The 18,756-nt window shown below is 48.6% G+C and overlaps 1 protein-coding gene across 54 annotated transcripts in view, besides 4 other annotated features; it reads left to right on the top strand.

Moving 5' to 3' along the window:
- Positions 1-3,084: 3,084 nt before the first annotated feature.
- AFAP1L2 (actin filament associated protein 1 like 2) overlaps positions 3,085-18,756 on the top strand; it is a 124,451-nt gene continuing 108,779 nt past the window's right edge. For 31 of the 54 annotated variants that reach the window (XM_047425873.1, XM_047425865.1, XM_047425864.1 and 28 more), the window contains exon 1: positions 3,758-3,820. In XM_047425873.1, the coding sequence (XP_047281829.1) occupies positions 3,805-3,820 (16 nt within the window). In that variant the 5' untranslated portion in view covers positions 3,758-3,804. Of the gene's footprint in view, positions 3,226-3,757; positions 3,821-9,355; positions 9,410-18,756 lie in introns of those variants that run through there. The other 23 variants (XM_047425858.1, XM_047425857.1, XM_047425856.1 and 20 more) reach the window with 2 other exon arrangements.
- Positions 3,223-3,723: an enhancer, noted in NCBI's record as "H3K4me1 hESC enhancer chr10:116164296-116164796 (GRCh37/hg19 assembly coordinates)". NCBI's record gives its function as "activates a minimal SCP1, AML or CMV promoter by ChIP-STARR-seq in primed H9 embryonic stem cells {active_cell/tissue: H9 hESC(primed)}" and the evidence as "EXISTENCE:reporter gene assay evidence [ECO:0000049][PMID:30033119]".
- Positions 3,223-3,756: a biological region, named in NCBI's record as "H3K4me1 hESC enhancer GRCh37_chr10:116164296-116164796".
- Positions 3,677-3,756: a silencer, noted in NCBI's record as "silent region_2845". NCBI's record gives its function as "represses an Ori minimal core promoter by ATAC-STARR-seq in GM12878 lymphoblastoid cells {active_cell/tissue: GM12878}" and the evidence as "EXISTENCE:reporter gene assay evidence [ECO:0000049][PMID:35858748]".
- Positions 4,554-4,603: a silencer, noted in NCBI's record as "silent region_2844". NCBI's record gives its function as "represses an Ori minimal core promoter by ATAC-STARR-seq in GM12878 lymphoblastoid cells {active_cell/tissue: GM12878}" and the evidence as "EXISTENCE:reporter gene assay evidence [ECO:0000049][PMID:35858748]".

Here is an 18,756-nt window from a genome sequence, read left to right as displayed (position 1 = left end):
CACTCTGCTCAGGCACAACTTCCAGAAGGTTGCTGCCATCAGTCCTCTCTTCCCCATTGGCTTTTCCACCACCCCATAGCTTCTCACCTGGGGGGTACAACTGCCTCCTGTGCTCCCCCTGCTCTCAGCCCCTGGGGGATCCCCGGGGCACCAACACTCTTCAGTGCTGTCTAATCACCTCAGCTCAGCACTCTAGGCCCTGGAACAGTGCTGCACCCACCTTTCCAGCCTCACTTGCTTCATTCCTGGCTTCTCCCTTTCTGCTACAGCAACAGAGCTGTTTGACCCTGAAAAGGCTCATCTCCCTGCCTCTGTTCCCACTGTCCTTTCTGCCTGGAAAGCTGCACTCACTGTACCTTTCCTGTCACCTCACTAACTCGAACTCATCCCACTCAGCCAGCTCGTCGCACTCTTCAAATTCATGGAACTCAGTGCAGCCGTTGCTGCTTCAGTGTCCTCTTGTGTGTTCCCAGAATCCCTCGTGTTTCTGTCTTATCAGAGCATCTACCTCACTGTGCTGTGTTGTTCACTGGTCTGTGTGCCCCATGAGATGGTAACAAACAGCCTGGCACTTCCTATGAGTGCCAAGAAGTTTTGTGAATATTTGGGGCTGGCAGAGTGACTCACACATATAATCCAAGCGCTATGGGAGGCCGAGGTGGAAGGATCACTTGAGCCTAGGAGTTGGAGGCCCCATCTTTATAAATAATAAATTAACAACAACAACAACAAAACTAGGCGAGTGTCATGGTATGTGCCTGTAGTCCTAGCTACCTGGGAGGCTGAGGCGGGAGGATTACTGAAGCCCAGGAGGTTTTTTTTTATTGTTGTTGGTTTGTTTGTAAACATTTTATTTCATTTTAATTTTTGATTTTATTTATTTATTTATTTTTGAGACAGGCTTGCTCTGTTGCTCAGGCTAGAGTGCAGTGGTGTGATCTCAGCTCACTGTAACCTCCAGTTCCTGGGTTCAAGCAATTCTCATGCCTCAGCCTCCCAGGTAGCTGGGATTACAGGTGTGCACCACCATGCCCGGCTAATTTTTGTATTTTTAGTAGAGACTGGGTTTCACCACGTTGGCCAGGCTGTCCCGAACTCCTGACCTCAGGTGATCTGCCCGCCTCGGCCTCCCAAAGTGCTGGGAAATACAGGCATGAGCCACCACGCCTGGCCTAAATATTTTATTTCATTTAACACAATACATTCCAGTTTTACCTTAAATATATTTTTAAAAATATTTAATTTTCTGATTATTCTTCTTTTTCTTTTTAAACTTTTATTTTAGATTCAGGGCAAATGTGCAAATTGTTATATAGGTAAATTGTGTGTCATAGGGGTTTGGTGTGGAGATTATTTAATCACACAGGTAGTAAGCATAGTGCTCAATAGGTAATTTTTCAATCCCTACTCTCCTCTCACCCTCCACCCTCAAGTAGGCTGTGGTGTCTGTTGTTCCCTTTTGTGTGTCCATGTGTACTCAGTATTTAGATCCCACTTAAAAGTGAGAACATGTGGTATTTGGTTATCCGTTCTTGCATTAGTTTGCTTATGAAAATGACCCCCAGCTCCATTCTTCCTTGCTGCAAAGGACATGGTCTTGTTCTTTTTTATGGCTGCATAGTATTCCATGGTATATATGCACCATATTTTGTTTATCCAGTCTACTGTTGATGACCATTTAGGTTGATTCCATATCTCTGCTATTATGAGTAGTGCTGCAATAAACATACATGTGCATATGTCTTTATGGTAGAACCATTTATATTCCTTTGGGTATATATCCAATAATGGGATTTCTGGGTTGAATGGTAGTTCTGTTTTAAGTTCTTTAAGAAATCACCAAACTACTTTTCACAATAGTTGAACTAATTTACATTTCCACCAGCAGTGTATAAGCATTCCATTTTCTCTGCAACCTCACCAGCATCTGTTATTTTTTGACTTTTTAATAATAGCCATTCTGACGGTATGGTATCTCATTGCAGTTTTGATTTGCATTTCTGTAATGATCAGTGTGAAGCCCACGAGTTTGAGGCTGCAGTGAACCAAGATTGTGCCACTGCACTCCAACCTAGGCAACAAACCAAGACCTTGTCTCTAAAAAAATAAAAATTAAAATACACATTTGGAAGCAGACAGATCCGAGTTTAACGCCTGCTCCGCTCTTTTCTAGCTGTGTGACTTTGAGCAAATTGCTTAACCTCTTTTCTTTTTTTTGAGACGTAGTCTCACACTGTCACCCAGGCTGGAGTGCAGTGCGCAATCTCAGCTCACTGCAACCTCCATCTCCCAAGTTCAAACGATTCTCCTGCCTCAGCCTCCCAAGTAGCTGAGTTTACAGGCCCCTGCCACCAAGCCCAGCTATTTTTTTTTTTTTTTAGTAGAGATGGAGTTTCACCATGTTGGCCAGGCTCGTCTCGAACTCCTGACTTCGTGATCCGCCCGCCTCAGCCTCCCAAAGTGCTGAGATTACAGGCGTGAGCCACCGCGCCCAGCCGTAGCTTCTTCACCTCTATGAAAGAGATCATAATAATACCCATGTCACAGGGATATCGGGGAAACTAAAGGCAGTGATGTACAGCCCTTAGCGCCGTGCCTGGCTTGTGGGGAGGGCTCCATCCACATTAGGTGCTAGTATAACTAAGAAAAATATTTCTACATGCTGTTGGGAGGGGTTGGGGGAGGTCTCCAAACATCACAACTAAATCTGCGATTCCAAGGAAGAATTAAGAAGTCTTTTAGAAAACCACCACTGCCAAATCTTCCTTAATTGTTCCTTCAAGGAAGCTGGGGAACTTAGGTAACCAACCAGGCACCCAGCACAAACCGTGACTGAGATTTTAAAGTGAAAACTGAAAAAGTTTAAAAGAACACATAGATCTCTGGGGGGAGCACGGAGAAGACTAGGTCGCATTAAGGGCCTGGAAGGACCGGTGGCAAAAGGCAAAGGATGGAAGTGTGGCACTTCTGGATGGAGGCAGTGCAGGGTGGAGATTCAGAGCCATGGCCGAGCTTCCTTATGGAACCGGCGCCACCCCTCCAAGGCGGTCAGGTTTACTGGGCGCCCCGGAAACGGCACTCCCTGACTTGTGGCGTTGGCCCTGGAAATTCAGGTAGAAAGCAGCAAGCAGATGTTTTCACACACCCTGAAGTGTGCGCGATTGGCAGCGGCTGCCCAGAGAGGTTCCAAGAGAGTGGGAGCAATCCCCAAAGAACCCGGAGCAGGTTTGGTTGCCCGCCCCGCTGCCCTCCTCGCCCCTCCAGGAAGGCCTAGGGCAAAAGCGCGCTGGCTCGGGAGCCAAGCGCGAGGAGCTCTAAGCCAGTCTCAACCTCCTAGCTTGGACCTCGGTCTCCTCCTCCAGGCATTGGGTTTGCAGCGGGCAGGGGTGTGGGAACAATCTTGGAGGCCCACCCAAGCCCGGCCTCCCGGAGCCTCCCCCAGAGTTTGGGAACGTCCCAGTCTCGTTCCCTCTCGACGCCCCCGGAGTCAAGACGTGAAGGGAGTGCCAAGGCGGCCGGGGGCGGCGAGCGGGGCCGCGGGCGCGCACCGACTCAAGAGCCGACTGTCAGCCTCGGCGGGCCGGAGTTCTCCGGCGCTGGGACAGGGGCGCTGGGACAGGGGCGCTGGGGGCGAGCCCTGGCGGGGGCCAGGTCCGAGGACCCTGGGCGCGGCGGCCCCGCCAGGAGGTCCGGCCGCGAGCGTGACCTCACGGGGAGGGGCCAGCGCGGCGGCCTGGGCGCTGAGCCGAGCGCCGGGAGAGCAGCGCAGAAGCCGAGCCGCGAGGAGCGCACTCCGTGGCCCCGATGGAGCGGTACAAAGGTGAGGGCGCGGGTTCCTCGCGCGGCGCACACCCACTCCCTTTCGCCCAGCGACGCGGAGGGCAGGGCTAGGACTCGTCTTGCCAGGACTCGGGATAAGCAGAGCCCACTGCCCCCACCCAGCCCGGACCTGGGCCTAAGAGGGGGCGACAGCGGCGCCGCGGACTGGGCGGGTGGGCTCCTAGGTGGCTGCTGCGGCCCGAGCCCTTTGATCCTCCCGGGCGCGGAAGGAGGGGGTCGTCAGTGGGGGGCGTGGCGGGGCTTCTCACCTGTTGCAGGAGAGAGGGTGAGCCCGGCACCCCACTCCACCCTCAGTCCCGCCGCACAGGAAAGATGCCTGGGGCCGAGGAAGCCCCGAAGAAGGTGGGAACCGTGCTGAGCTGCTGGGGGCAAAGGGTCGGGCTGTTGAGTCCTTTCTCCCGGGCGCCCGCCGGGCTAGGGGCTTCCTGCTCCCGGCAAAGCGCTTGGGCAGTGGAGTGGGCGCGCAGACCCTCCCCGGGCTAGGTGGGGCCTCCCCAAACGTCCTGCCGTTCGGGTCATCGTTTCTCTCCAAGCCCTTCTTTGCTCCCCCACACCAAGAAAGGAGGGATGCGAGGGTCGGGGGCCGAATGGAGTGCCCGGCAGGTGGAGCTCCTGGAGGCGTCCGGACCCGAGGGCTTAGCTCAGTGCGCAGCTGGGCGAGCTTTGGGTTTGGCGGGGGCCAGGATCTCCGCCAAACCCCGGTGGGCGGGCCGTCCCGGGTGCGCCGGACGCCCAGCTTAGCACCCACACTCGGAGCCTCGGAGCTGGTCTACAAGTCTCGATTGCGGTTCTTTTGAAAAGGGAGTACAGGGAGTTGCCCCTTAAGAGGAACCCTGCGGGCGCTCCCCCCTCCCCCATCCTCCTGCAGACCCCTTCCCTTTGGAAAAGCCTCTTGCCTTCTCTTTTGCTGGACCGGTCTCCGCCAAACCTGCGGGAGGAAATGCTGCTTCTATATTTGTTTTCCCCTGGGAGAGAGTAATAAAAAGAGAACGCTCAGATTCCCAGGAATCTCACTCCCGGAGGGCTCTGATCCCTGAAACTGACATAAAGGGACCTGTTGGGACCGGCTTCCCTAAAGTAGTCTTGTCTTTCACTTTCCCATTGCTTTTTCTCATCTGGGTAGCCTGGTTACTGGTGAAGGCAAAAGATCCAAGTCCCAGACAGAGCTTCATATATTCAGGAAGGGTCTTTGCCGACAGCAGGGAGCCGGCGTGGGGGACAGGGTTAAAGGAGTTGGCCACCTTTGATTTCTTTCTGTGAACCCTCCCTGGAGCTTCTCTCGCATTTCTAACCCGGTGGTTTTCTTCTTCTCAAATTCTACTGGGATCACGTCAGTTTTGTGCTTGAATGACTGAATGCGCGCTTATGCTGTCTCAGACACTTGAGGAAGCCACAGTCCTGCTCCTTGTAACATGGCCGTTTGCACTCCCTCCCCTACTGGGGCCCCTCCGCCCTTCGGGAGGGACCCTCTCTGGGAATTCAGGCCTTGAGTTGAGCCTGACAGGAAGTGTTGGCCTCTGGGGTGCCTTCCAGCTCCCTGACTTGCAAAGCTGGGGTGTGTGTATGGGGGTGGGGGTGGTGTTAGTTGTAGGTTGCAAGCTACTTTCTCAAATCAGCATATTAATCTCTCTAAATCAGGGCAAATCACATTTGGGGTCTTTCAAAATGTCCCGTTATTCTCAGAAGGCTTTTGTATTAATAACTTTTGACTTGGCCCTTGACCTGATAAAAGTCTTCTTAGTTATCTTTCTCTCTCAGGAGCTTAAAATCCTCCCACCCTCGAAGAGGATCAGTTTTTGCCAACTGAAGGGAACTTCGTTTCCAGGTCAGGGTGCTTATGTTTTTGGTAACACATGTATCTGCCTGATCATTTTGCAGTAAACCAGACACAGAGTGATAAGTGGGTAAACCTGAGAATTATCTAGGTTTCAGAGGCTAATCCAACTCAAATTCCAGTGTTTGACTCATGAGAAAAATCTTTATTTTGTCTCGCTGGTGTCATGCTGCTAATAGGTTTACTACACCTTTCACTGAGGAATTTGGGGATCCCCTAGCCCCAGGATATAGAATTCCCCATTCTCCTGAGAGGCAGATAAGTTGTGCTTTGAACACCCTTTAAATGGAAAAGTTCCTCTATGCAAAATGCAAAATGAAGCCCATCTCTGATTAACCAGTGTGACTGACTAGAATCGGTAGTCTCTTCTTGCTTTTCAGAGACTGGGGCCATCTTCTTAAAGTTGAGATTGAATAGTTATTGGAATAACTAGGAATAGTGGTTTAAACAACAAAGTTAAACGGAAAAAGCAGGTTTATTTAGTTGGGCTCCTGGAGCCTAAGTAAAAACTGTAAAGAAAAATTCTTATTGTGTGTGACACTTTTTAAATGTGTTATTTAAATGCCTCTTCATTCTGTTTCTGTACTTCCAATTTTGAGCTCTCCCTCTCTCAGGTAGGTGGAAATGCCTCATGGCTGTCTTCAGAGTCTCAAAATGTTTTCTCTAATTTGCAAATCTTATAAAGCAGTTCATGTAGGAGAAATTGTCTTTCCATGTTCCTTAGCCTGCTTGTTATATATATTGTACATCCTCCAAAAATAGCCTATCATTTTTGGGCTCTGAGTGGATTTTCCATTGTCTTGTAGGATGTAAAGTGAGGTCTGGAGATGATGGGTGGTTGGAATATCACCCATGTGACATGCCTGTTGCAGAGACACTTCCAGACTTTCTTCCCAGTCCCTTCCAAGATTTCTGCTAGATAGCCATGACTCACCCAAGCAAAAATAAGGGATCGGGGAGTATGTGGGAGTCCCTTCCTAGAGAGATGGCACTTTTATGAGAGTTGCCATAAATAGCGATGGTAAAATGGCTATGTCTTGTATGTGAATCTCTTTGGCGTTGTATAAGCAGTAAGGCTCTCGCAAATGTCAGGATGTGGGGCCAAATCCTACAGGGTGCTTTGAGAAGGTTCCCATCCTTATGTGTTTACATATTTATGACTCTCATAAGAGCATCCTTTTATCGCTGTGCATGAGCCCATTGGCTGAACTCACCCAGTGTGGTCACGCATTCTGGTTCTGACTGCTCTCCCAGCTGGTGAGTGGGTCTGGGCCAAATGTGACTGACCTACTATCTGTGGATTGTGCTTGGAACATCCATGCCGAAGCTTCCTGAAATTGCATCATACTTGGATACAGATGGGCCTGGTTGAGATATTCAGCTTCAATTTAGATCACAGTAATTGGTTGAAAGTGTTATTATTCTTTTTCTGCGGTTCTTTTGTTTCTGAATTTGATCATCCAGTCCCCCCGCTTAGCTCTAGGGCATTGGAGGCAGATATGAACTGCAAAGAGTCAATCCAGTAAAATACTACTTCAAAGTTTATATGGGAATCCTGAGATCTGTGGTCAGGGAAGGTCTGGAAAAGAAAAGCAAATTAAAAGAGATGGGCATGCTACCTTCAGGAATCATCTGTATTTGTTATTTTTCAATGCCTACGAACTCAGGTTTTTTTGTGTTGAAGTTCTATCTAAGGCAGTAGTTCTAAACCTTTGCTGTGCATGGAATCATCTGTGGAGCTTTCAAAAATATGGATGTAAAGGCCCCACCCAAGACATTCTGATTTAATTGGTCTAGGGTACAGCTTGGGCATTGTATTTTTTAAAGGTCTTCAGGTGATTCCAATATGCAGCCAAAGTTGGGAACCAAATTTCCTCCAAAAAACATGAAATGTCAAAAGAGCAAAAAAGATCAGTAATTTTATATACACTTTCCTCACCTGGAAAAGTAAAAGCAAGTGTGGGGTGAAAGGGATGCCCCCCCGATACTCACACGATGTGCCTTAACCAAATCTTGTAATACCTGCAGAAATCTACTGTAATCACCTTCAGCTATTAGAGGCTTTAAAAGGCTATGGGAACGTTGCTTAAAAACGATCTCAAATGTGGTGCTTAAAATCCTAAGCTCAGGGTTTGCTCCTTGTACTTGACCCTGAGCTCCCTGACTTTGAAGTTGCGTGGGAGCCCTGGATGATGTGGCAATGAAATGGTCTGAAACAGAAATACTGAGAGGTCACTTTTGGTGCTGAAAGGCCAAGCAGAGTGGGGGAATTCTGCTTTGGGCCCTTCCTCTCTTCTGAAGGGGTAGGAGCCCTGCGAGCTGGGCTGCTTCCAGCACAATTAAAGGGCCAGGAAAGGCCAAGGAGCTTCAAAGCTGAGGAAGCTGTGCCAGTTTTCTTCCAATTCCCTTTCATAACGGGAAATGTTTCTTTAAAGGCTTCTGTCATTCAGAGAAGGGAGACTTTCCTCAAGCCAAGGGAGGATGGCTTTTTCTGTCCAGAGCCCTGGCTGAGACATGAAGGCAGTCATGGTGCAATGAAGAAAGTAGTGGCTCAGGAACCTGGAGACCCACAGGCTTCATTTCCTTGGGCAAACTGCTGAGCTCTCCAGGCCTCAGTTTCCCCATCTGGAAAACAACCTCCAGTGTTCGCAGTGTTCCTCTATCTGACTTTCCAATGGTTCTTCGATGCTAGTTGTTCTGTGGTCACTGAGGAATCTTTGGAGAGAGGATGTGTCTTGGGGAGGAGAGGGAAATGAGGGAGGGAATGTGGGTGGGTAGCCCAGCAAAGGTCAGTTTAGGATTGTGATTCTTATAAATAAAACCAATTTCCTGTTGAGAGCTGGAGAGTAGCAGACTTAGTGGGAAAGAGAATGCCGTAGGCCATGTGAGGAATTCATTTCTCAAGGACTTTTGTGTGACCGTGTCTCCAAAGATTGTTCATCGAGCCCAGAGCCACCCTCTGCAACACGGACCATTATTCACTCCCATTTGAGAGACAGGCCAACTGAGGCCTACAGAGATTAAGCAACAGTCCAGACAGTCAGAAATAGGATATAATATCCCTGAGAACTGAGTCTCTAAAAGGGTAGAATTCCTTTTCAAGGATTTATTTAGGAAAGAAGTGCTCAAAGCAATTTCAAATTCATTCCTTATCGGTGTCCCTTCAGCCAGGGAGGGACTACCTGCTCAGTTAAACTCTCCTCAATCTTCAGGACCTAGCCCACATGTCTCTTCATCCAGGAAGCCTCCCCTGACTCCCACTGTGTACCCTCATTACTCTTGGGATAGCCTCATTAATGCCTAGCACATCGCAGGTGGGCAACAAATATTTGTGGAATTAGTGTCACATTTGTCTAATAATTGTACATGTCTATGTTTGTTTCCCTGCCAGGCTGAACTCCTTCAAGACAGGGACTTTGTCTTTCCTTATGTCCCTCTCCAGCCCCTGGCACACTGCCAGCTGCATAGTGGGTATCTGGGACATGATTGGGGAGTGGGGAAATGAACAAATTCCAGGCAAAGAGATCACATATTCTCCCGTGCTCTAGCTCTGGAGAACAGACCTGGTTCACAAAAAGAAATGAAGCAAAATCTCAAAGGCAGATTCCAGAAATGGAGATGAAAGCCCACAGTGGCCACCCTTGGCTTTCCCGACTTGAGCCTTATTTCTGTCTATTCCAGCACAGGGGTGTTGCTGTCTGGTGGTACAGAGAAGGATCCGGCAGGTTTCTGCGTGTGAGTATGAGCCTGTCTGTGCCCTCTGCAGCAGCTCACCTGGCCTCCAGGGCTCCCGAGGGTGCAGACCTGGCTCTGCCCATGCTCTGGGTGGATGGTTGAGGGAGATCAAGGAGCTGGGCACCGGCCTGGGCACTCAGGGGCTCGGGATTCTAATCTGGCTTTTGCCACTAACTCGCTATGCGACCTTGGGCAAGTCAATTAATCTTTCTCAGCCTTGTTTCCTCATCTGTATGAGTGAGAATAATGATTACTAATCTACCTTGCAGGCCACTTGGTGGAATAACTTGTAAGAGCTATTGGTAAAGACTTTGAGAAAGAGAATGTTAAATTAACGCAGGGGAGCAGATACCCTGAAACCTCTGGCATGTGGTTCTGATCCCACCAGTTCCTGCCTTTTCACAGTTCACTGGGCTCTGCCCACTGTGTGCTTTTCAATGCTGTTGGGAGATATAAGTTGGGGCTTCTCAGCCTCTAGGCATCCTAGCTTCTCAGAGATAGCATCTGTGTATTCTTCATGTCAGTGGAGAAAGAGATAGGTGACGAACTGCTCATTTGTTATGTGTAGAGCTACATCCTAGCCCTGCCTGACTTTTCTCTGATGTCTCATTAAGTCCACATAGGAGAGACCCTTAAATTCAAATAGTAGCTTTGAGCCCTTTCCTAATTTTCTATCACTCGACTCTCATATTCTCCCCAGTTAGTTTCAAAAAACAAACTAACCACAAACTGCATTGAGCGGGGAGAAGGGAGAATGTGTAGAAAAACAGGAGGAGCCTGCCTCCCCCTGGACGCGTTGCATTGGACTGATGCAAAAACACAGTGAGGCCAGGGAACACGGATCTCACATCTCTCAGGGGAGTCTGGTATTAGGGAGGAGTGGGGAGAGGCACCCATGCCAGTAGAAATCCTGTTCTGCTGTTTTCTAAGCAGGCCCCTGAGTTCTCTTCTCACTTCCTGGAGCTCCTCCCAGGACTTCAAAGGCAGATACAGTCCTGGTGGACTGTGGTGAGCTTGTACGGAAGCTCAGCCCCAGCACACTGCAAATCAGCCTTCTGCTGGAGATTAAAGCAAGAGAGGCTAGCCAGCTGTTAGCTCAGAGACAGCAACCACTGTGTACCAGGAAGAATCCAAGCTGGGTGAATGTACAGTCCTACCCTTGGAGGTAGCTTTCCCAAATTGAATGACCAGCCTTCCGGGCTTGCTTGGGACTTTCCTGGTTTTACCACTGAAAGTCTGGTGTCCCAGGAATCCCCTTAGTCCTGGGCAAACTGAGATGGTGAGTTGCCCTATTACCGGACCTAAGCTTTAGTAAAAGTTTCTGAATCAAGAGTTTGATTTCTCCATAGCAAACATGAGCTGGAACCAATTATTTTGTCTCTTTGACAAGAAAGTGAAAGTCCAAGGCTTAAAAACTGGCAGATCGTAACTTACCACTAGTGATACACACCAGTATGCTAAGTGAAAGAAGCATACTGCTATTCAAGATTCAAAAGCTTGCACACTGAATGATTCTATTTATATGACTTTCTGGAAAAGGCAAAACTATAGGGAAACAGATCAGTAGTTGCCAGGACTGGGACTGGGGGAAGGCGTGAGCCACAAAGGGCGTGAGGGAAATTTTTGGAATGATAGAGATGTTCAGTATCTTCATTTTGGTAGTGGTTACACAGCCATACATACTTGTCACAATTCAGAACTGTGTAGTTAAAAGGGCTTTTTTTTTTTCTGTGTGTAAATTAACCTCAATAAAGCTGACTTTTAAAAACACTCTAGCAGTTGTGATGCTGTGGTATAAGATGAAGGTTCAAGGTCAAGGTTGGGTATCATGGGTTGTAATTAGCAACTGAGTCTTGGTGTGGGTGTGTCTGCAATGGTTCTGGAGGTGTATGCAGCAGAAAAGGGTGAGAAATTTGGTACAAAACAAAAAGGCCAAGGGCTCATGCCTGATGACATCCTAAATGCCAGAGACTTTTTCATTAGGCACAATCAGTGTGATAGTGGAAGCTCTCCCTCTGTTTAGAGAAAAGGCAAAAGCAGCTCCCCTAAAGGCCAGGCAGCCAACAAGCCCAGGAGGACCATGGAATATAAGAGCATTAGACTCAGGTTCCCACCCTGGGAACTCTGCTGCTACCCACACATGGATCTAATGTACTGGCTTTGGCAGCCTGTCTGCAAGTCTTTTTTTTCTACCAATAAAGTTATTGTATTAGAATTGAGTAATCAAGTCTGCAGGATAATTATTTCCTGGTTGACTTTTTGTTTTTGGCAGTCCTGCTTGTCTATGCTAGCTAGGATTGATTTTGAGGGGAAGAACCCATGATTTATCGAAATAACACACCCAGTCGCATTTGATGTAAAGAATCAGTCCTCTTATTTCTAGACAAGGAGAAGCCTTCTGATGCAAGGGCAGAATTACCAGTCGTCACTGCACCAGGCCAGCGGACAGGATGTGGAAGTCCCCAAGAAGGAAGAAGTATCACTCTGGGTGATCTGAATGGACTCTTAAGATCTTGGTGTTTTCCTTTTTATTTATTTATTTGTTTTTTAATCAAAGCCCATGTTGAATTTGCCTGTTCTTCAGGTGAATTTTGTCTGGCTCTGTACCCTGGGAAGCTGGGTCTGTGTCTGCATCTCTATTAAGCACAGCCTGTTGGAAGGCTGTGGAACTTCCATCCGTGAGGACTACATGGGCTGAGGTCATGTTCAACCATGAATTATACAGGAGAATTTCCCACATGCAACTTTTTAAAATCACAAACACATCCAAGCCACTAGTCACCCACAAAGGCAGGTCTCTTCCACCTGTTCCAGGGTTTTCTGGAAGAATTACAGACTCATAGCCAGTGCAATCCTTAGTTCTAATTGTCTTAGTTTTGTTGGGGGAAAGCATTGATGTTAGAGAGGCAGGCAGTGTTTTTGTGCATATTTGAAGTGAAATTTCCCTGATGCAGGGTCAGGCCTGGCTTGTGGCTGGTCTACCTAAGAAGGGTCGGGTTTGGGGCAGCCCCAAGGCCCGCGTCTGGTTTGAGTGCAAGGGAGAAGCTGGGAGCTTATGAGTGGGGGATTCCAGATGTTTCCTTCCCTGGGCTGCACACCTCTGCCACAATCTCCCCTGGGCTGCCTGGGCACACTGGCATCTGTTTGGGTTTAGGGGACTGTCTTAGCCTTCTTGTTAGCCCAACAAGTGGGAATCCTGCCATTTCCTTCCATCCTCCACCCCCCGTTTTTTTCTCCCCCAGTTTTTATACAACAGGATTTATTCATGTTCACTGTATTCAAGTCCCCAGATGGGGGGAGAAAAAAAAGATTGTTGAATGAGCTTATTGTTTGGAGGTTTCACTGACTTCTTTTATTTAATACCCACAGTCCTAGAACATATTGAACTGATTTACTAAAATTCAAATGTGGTCCTTTTGGAAGGAACTCTTCTAGGGTGCTTCGTGTCCCCGGTATCAGAGCTGGGACCTACTGGGTGGCAAGTTTGCTTGGGCCATCTTCATGGTCTTGGGTCTCCTTGGAGGCAAATATTCTGTTACTATCCTAGACTCCTTATCAGCTCACAATGGTCAACACCCTACCGCCCTTTGCATTGTCAGGACTTTTGCGGCACCCAATTCTAGCACATTCTTTGAATAAAGATGAACACCAACATTAGGTACTACAGTTAACAGAAGCCCTCTGTGGCTTCTGCTTGGCAGTTTCCTGCACACTTAGGGAGAATAAAGGATGGTGAAGTGGCACCTACTGCTTGACTGCCTAGTGCAGGGCAGCTGGTCCTTGACTGACATGGCAGAGTTGGATCACATGTCTTTGGCATGTTTTAGAGATGGGGTCCCTACCGTTGATGTTACCGGAATTGTGGCTGAGGATCGTGGCGTGCATGGTGGTCAAGCACGGTTTCTGTATGGCTGTGACACAGTTGTGCTGTGACGGTTCCAGATGTCTGGAGCCCCTGGAAATCTCCTGAGAGAGCAGGGGCAGGTACTTGAGCTGGGTGAGACTCATGTCTCCCAGGAGTCGGTGGAAGCTTGTCTCTGGTTCAAGTCGGTAATATCCCAGATGTTCTGAAAGTAGCCTGGGGCAAAGCAGGAAGGGTGGATCTCAAAACCACACACACAAGTGTGAGTTGTGGGTGCTTCAGGACGCCTCTTGGACGCACAGGCTCACGCTGGCTCCTGCACCTGCATCTCTTGCTTCCTCCCTCCCTCTCTCCCTCCCTCTCTTCTTCCCCTCTCTTCTTTTGTTCCCCTCTTGACTTTCTCCCACTTTTTCACTCTGTTTCTTTCTACCACTTCCATTCAGGTCTCCAGGTCTCCTGGATCTTGAGTCCAAAGAAGGGATTCCCACTGAGAACCTGAGGCCAGAAAGACACAGAGGATAGAGTCAGACCCTCCCAACTCTCTCCTGGTCCCCAGGCCTCTGGTGGTCTCAGGCTCTCATTTCAAATAGCCGTGGCTTGAATTTCAGGCTTCTCCCAGGAGGGGCTGGTGACCTCAGAGTCAGGGTGGGGAAACTGGGGCTTATTCTCAGTATCTTACTCCCTCCTAGAAGTGCAGGCCTCAATGGAATTTGTTCACTGTGGCCCCTGCTGCTTCCTCAAGCCCTAAAGGGTGTCACTTCTCATGGCCTGCTGCAAGAAATGACATCTTCCACAATCCTCAGGTCCAGAGCTATTTGCTAACCCTGGGGCTTTGCCGGTCGTCCCCCCGGCACAGTGCAGGTTAGTGTCACGGTGATTAGGGTCCCAGGAAAGGGCACACGTACTCTCTTTCTGTGGGTCCTTAAACAGTGCTGTGACTCGCTGACCACCAAGGGGTAGAATCAAAATTCCTGCACTGTGAGGGGCTCCTCCCACCGCCATCCCAAGTCTCCTGGAACTGAGTATCAGAGGAGGGACTGGTGTCCTCCCAGGGGGAGCATGAGAATGTGTCCATTGTTTGGATAAAAGTTCCAAGCATGAAGGCTCAACGTTGACTAAAATAATTTTTTCCCATTGACCTCCTTGCTTCTCAGCGGGCAAGCGCCCATCTCCCGCCCTTCTGAGGCTGCTTTGGTGTATGTAATTGTAAACAGCTCTGGCTGGCAGCAAATCTCCAAGAGTTACGGGATCCAGGTGTCGCTCCCAACTCACCACGCACTGGTTCCCTTGAGAGTGGAAAGGCTGTTTTGTTCTCGGAGGGAGAATTCAGGCTGTTGCTTTTGAGATCAGATCCTTACAAAGCCTGACTCACTCTCCCATTCCACCCCCAACTTCCCTCCCTGTCCCCAGCCTCCAGGTCTCTACTCACGATGAAAGAGGCTTCGGGGATTCTACTTCATGAATGAAGCCCTTAGCATGTGGATTTTTGCTTTTCTGACCCGGAGGTAAGAGTGTGGATCACTGAGTGCTCTCAGGTATGCAGGGAGCCACGAGCATGTTTATTGTTGAGCGTAAGAGCAAACCAGCAGCCCACATTCCCTGTGTGAGAACAGGGGCTCACCAATCAGGGCGAGAGTGTGGGCTCAGGTCAGTGTCAGCCTCGTTTCTTGGCTACATTCTCACCCCTGGTGCAGGTCATGGCAGTATGGGAGTGAAAGCCTCTTGTGCTAAGCAGGAAGCCCCAGGAGAGTGTTGGTGGCTTTGGGGCACTTAGTTACCTCCCTTTGCCTAGCAATAGAGTTGGGAATCATCTCAGAGCAAAAGTGATCCAAGGATTGTGTTGGAAAATGCCTTTGGTAGGTTCAGAGGATACGGGGTGCTCCTATCTTGGGGGCCTTCCTGCTTCCTCCTCTCCTTGCAGCCCTAAGCGTTTACTTTCCGGGTATCAGGTATGATAGGGGCACATGCGTGTTGGGGGAAAGGAGATGTGGGATGACAATCAGCCCCTTTTTTCTTAAAATTTCTTAAAGCTATTTACCTAATGTCCTCAAGTGTAAGACTTGTCCTACAAGATTTATTTTCCTGCCAAGGGAAGGTTGAGGCAGCTTGGAAGAGAGAAAGTGAGAGTGCAAAGGACCTTGTTCTATTGGAGTGGAGAGACTTCAGTTCCTCGCAGGCCTCCTCTATGCTTTCAGGCTTGGCTGCCATGTGTCTGTGCGTATAGATTTCTTCTCTGTTTGGAAAAAATAACAAAGGTGGTCACATAGCTTGCAGCAAATATTCTCCCCAAATGGCTTTTAAAAAAATTACCATTATGAGTGTGAAAATGGTTTAGATTTAGGAGGAAACAGCTGGCTGGCAGCGTTCCTGGTGAGTTCCTGGATAAGATTCTGTGGTGTCACTAATGACTTTATTCGGTATATTTCTGACACAAGCACCCTTGAGAGTTGGGGAATTTTGTGGCTGAGAACTGAGGTGAAGGAGGGAAAGTCCTAATTTAATTCAGGACAATCCAGACCTGTCCAATGGATATCTCTTATCCACCTTGATAGTTTAACTTGGATGCACACAAACCCTTTTTCTTTCTTTTTCCCTTTCTTTCAACAGGGTCTTGCTCTGTCACCCAGGCTGGAGTTCAGTGGCACTGTCATGGCTGACTGCAGTCTCAAATTCCTGAGCTCAAGCCATCCTCTGACTCAGTCTCCTGAGCAGCTGGGACTACAGGTGCACACTACCACACCTGAATAATTTATTTTTCATTTTTTTGTAGAGGCGGGGTCTTGCTATGTTGACCAGGCTGGTCTTGAACTCCTGGCTTCAAGCAATCCTCCTGCCTCAGCCTCCCAAAGTGCTGGGATTACAAATGTAAGCCCCTGTGCTCTTCTTTCTAGGATTCTGTCTATGGGTTTCTCTGAGACTTCAATACATTGCTATCCTAGCTAAGATAAGCCTAGATTTCTTGAGACCCCTGAACCAGGACCTGTCCTTGAGTGCAGGCGGCATCTAGGGCAGCTCACCAGTGGCTGTGGGGAGAGTAAGGAGGTGTGCTGTTCCTTGTACTGCTCTGGAGAAAGCCTGAGCCCCTCTGTACCTGGCTCATTCCTATTTTTCCAGCCTCTGCAGCCATTCCTCACTTGGCTCTATGCCACAGTCATACCGGGCTCCTTGTAGCTCCCTAACTTGGGCTTTTCCACGTGCTGGTCAATTGGTTTGAAATGCTTCAGGGCTGCCTGGTAAGCACGTTTGTCAAGGCTCACTGGGCCTTGACACCTTGACCCTGGCTGCCACTGGATCCCTTAACCCTCACCTCATCTTGTACAACCCTCATGGCCGTGGTCATTGTGTCTGTTGATGGAAGTCTATATTTCTAGTAGGCTGTAAGCTCCTTAAGGGCCAAGGACAGTATTTTTGGTGTTCACAGCACTAATCTCACGTGTGGTATATTGTGAGTAGTCCAGAAACACAAATTGGTTGGGCCCAGTGGCTCATGCCTGTAATCCCAGCACTTTGGGAGGCTGAGGCAGGTGGATCACCTGAGGTCAGGAATTCGAGACCAGTCTCGCCAACATGGTGAAACCCTGTCTCTACTAAAAATACAAAAATTAGCCAGATATAGTGGCAGACACCTGTAATCCCAGCTACTTGGGAGGCGGAGGCAGGAGAATCGCTTGAATCCAGGAGGTAGAGGTTGCAGTGAACTGAGATCTCACTACTGCACTCCAGCCTGGGTGACAGAAAGAGACTCTGTCTAAAAAAAAAGAAAAAAAGAAAAGAAAGAAACAGGAACTGAATGAGAAATGTTTGCTGTCCTCAGGTTTTCTTAGAGTTGGATTACATCAAAGTTAAGGGCTCTGTTCACTGAGTGACACCCTGGACAAAATTAATAGGCAGCTGGCAGAAAGGAGAGAGAGATTTACAATGTCTAAAAGCTGTTCTATTAACATTTAGGATATACAAGGCACATTAACCAGAAAAAGGCATGAATGTACATAGTAAAGACAGTGAATCAAGGGTATGAACAGGAGTTTACAGGTCAAGGAAGCTGCCAAAAGGCTGACAAGTATCTGAAGAAATGCCTGGGCTTCTTTAGTCATCAGAGGCAGGTCAACCAAAACCACCACCCAGTAGACTGGCAGAAATGAGAAGGTGGCACAATGCCCCATTTTCCCAGGGACGCTGGGTTCAACCATCTTCATGCAGAGCTGAGGGAGTATAGGCTAGTACAGCCAGTCTGGAAGGTAGGATTTTTTTTTTTTTTTTTTTTTTTTGAGACAGAGTCTCGCCCTGTTGTCCAGGCTGGAGTACAGTGGCGTGATCTCGGGTCACTGCAACCTCCGCCTCCCAGGTTCAAGCGATTCTCCTACCTCAGCCTCCTGAGTAGCTGGGATTACAGGTGCGTGCCACCATGCCTGGCTAACTTTTGTATTTTTAGTAGAGATGGGGTTTCACCATGTTGGTCAGGCTGGTCTTGAACTCCTGACCTCGTGATCTGCCCGCCTCAGCCTCCCAAAGTGCTGGGATTACAGGCGTGAGCCACCGCAGCCGGCCGATTTTTCTTAATTGCATTGAAGATGCACTTACCATACGATCTAGCAATTCCCAAAGAGATGTCTGCATGGGTCCATAAGGGGGCAGGGTTGAGGATGATCTCTGCAGCATTATTTGTCATGGTGGAGAATGGGAAGCAGTCTAGGTGTCACTTGGGAGAGGGAACAGGTGAACTGATAGATACATGTCTTAGAGAATTATGCAGCAGTAGAAGCAATGGCTGAGATATACATCCAATGGCATAGATGAATCTTTAATACACAGTGCTGATGGAAAGGCAGGAACCAGAATAGGACAGTGGACAATAGCATTTACAGTCATTCAAAATTCACGAAGCAGTCCACATTGAGCAAAACACATACAAACGGAAAGGTGCATATTAGGAAGGTCATCGTTGTTGCGGGAGGAGAATGGGGTATGGGGAAGAAAAGGAAATTGCATGAGTTTGCTTGTAGCCTATTGTCAATGCCAGAAGCCTACAAATAATTCTGACTTGGAGCAGAATTTGACATAGTGAGAACAATACCAGAAGCTCAAGCCATGTGCTGTGAAAGGATGGGGAGGAGACTCCCCACCACCCCTCACCCTATGGAGGAATCATGGGAAGGTCATTTTCCTTCATATTAATTTCTGGACTGTCCAAGAAGTTCTCATGAAGCTGTGATAACAGACTATCCCTACGTTTGACTCTAAAGCTTGCATTTGACTGCGAGGGCTGTAGTGGTGGTTAGCAGTCCACCATTGTCACAGAACGGGGGAGATGCATGAATAAGCCTGGGGTGGTAGGGCTGGCTTTTCATAGCTGTGTATTTTTTCAGTCACCTCCAGCCATTCTGAGTGCCTGAGCTCTTAGTCATCCTTGGGTTCACATCACTAAGTACAGGTCATGGCTGACAGCCAGCGTCCAAATGTTTATCACACTGAGTAAAATGCAGTG

Source organism: Homo sapiens, chromosome 10, assembly GCF_000001405.40.
Source record: "Homo sapiens chromosome 10, GRCh38.p14 Primary Assembly".
Classification (NCBI taxonomy): domain Eukaryota; kingdom Metazoa; phylum Chordata; class Mammalia; order Primates; family Hominidae; genus Homo; species Homo sapiens.
This window is presented reverse-complemented; position numbering and strand designations above follow the sequence as displayed.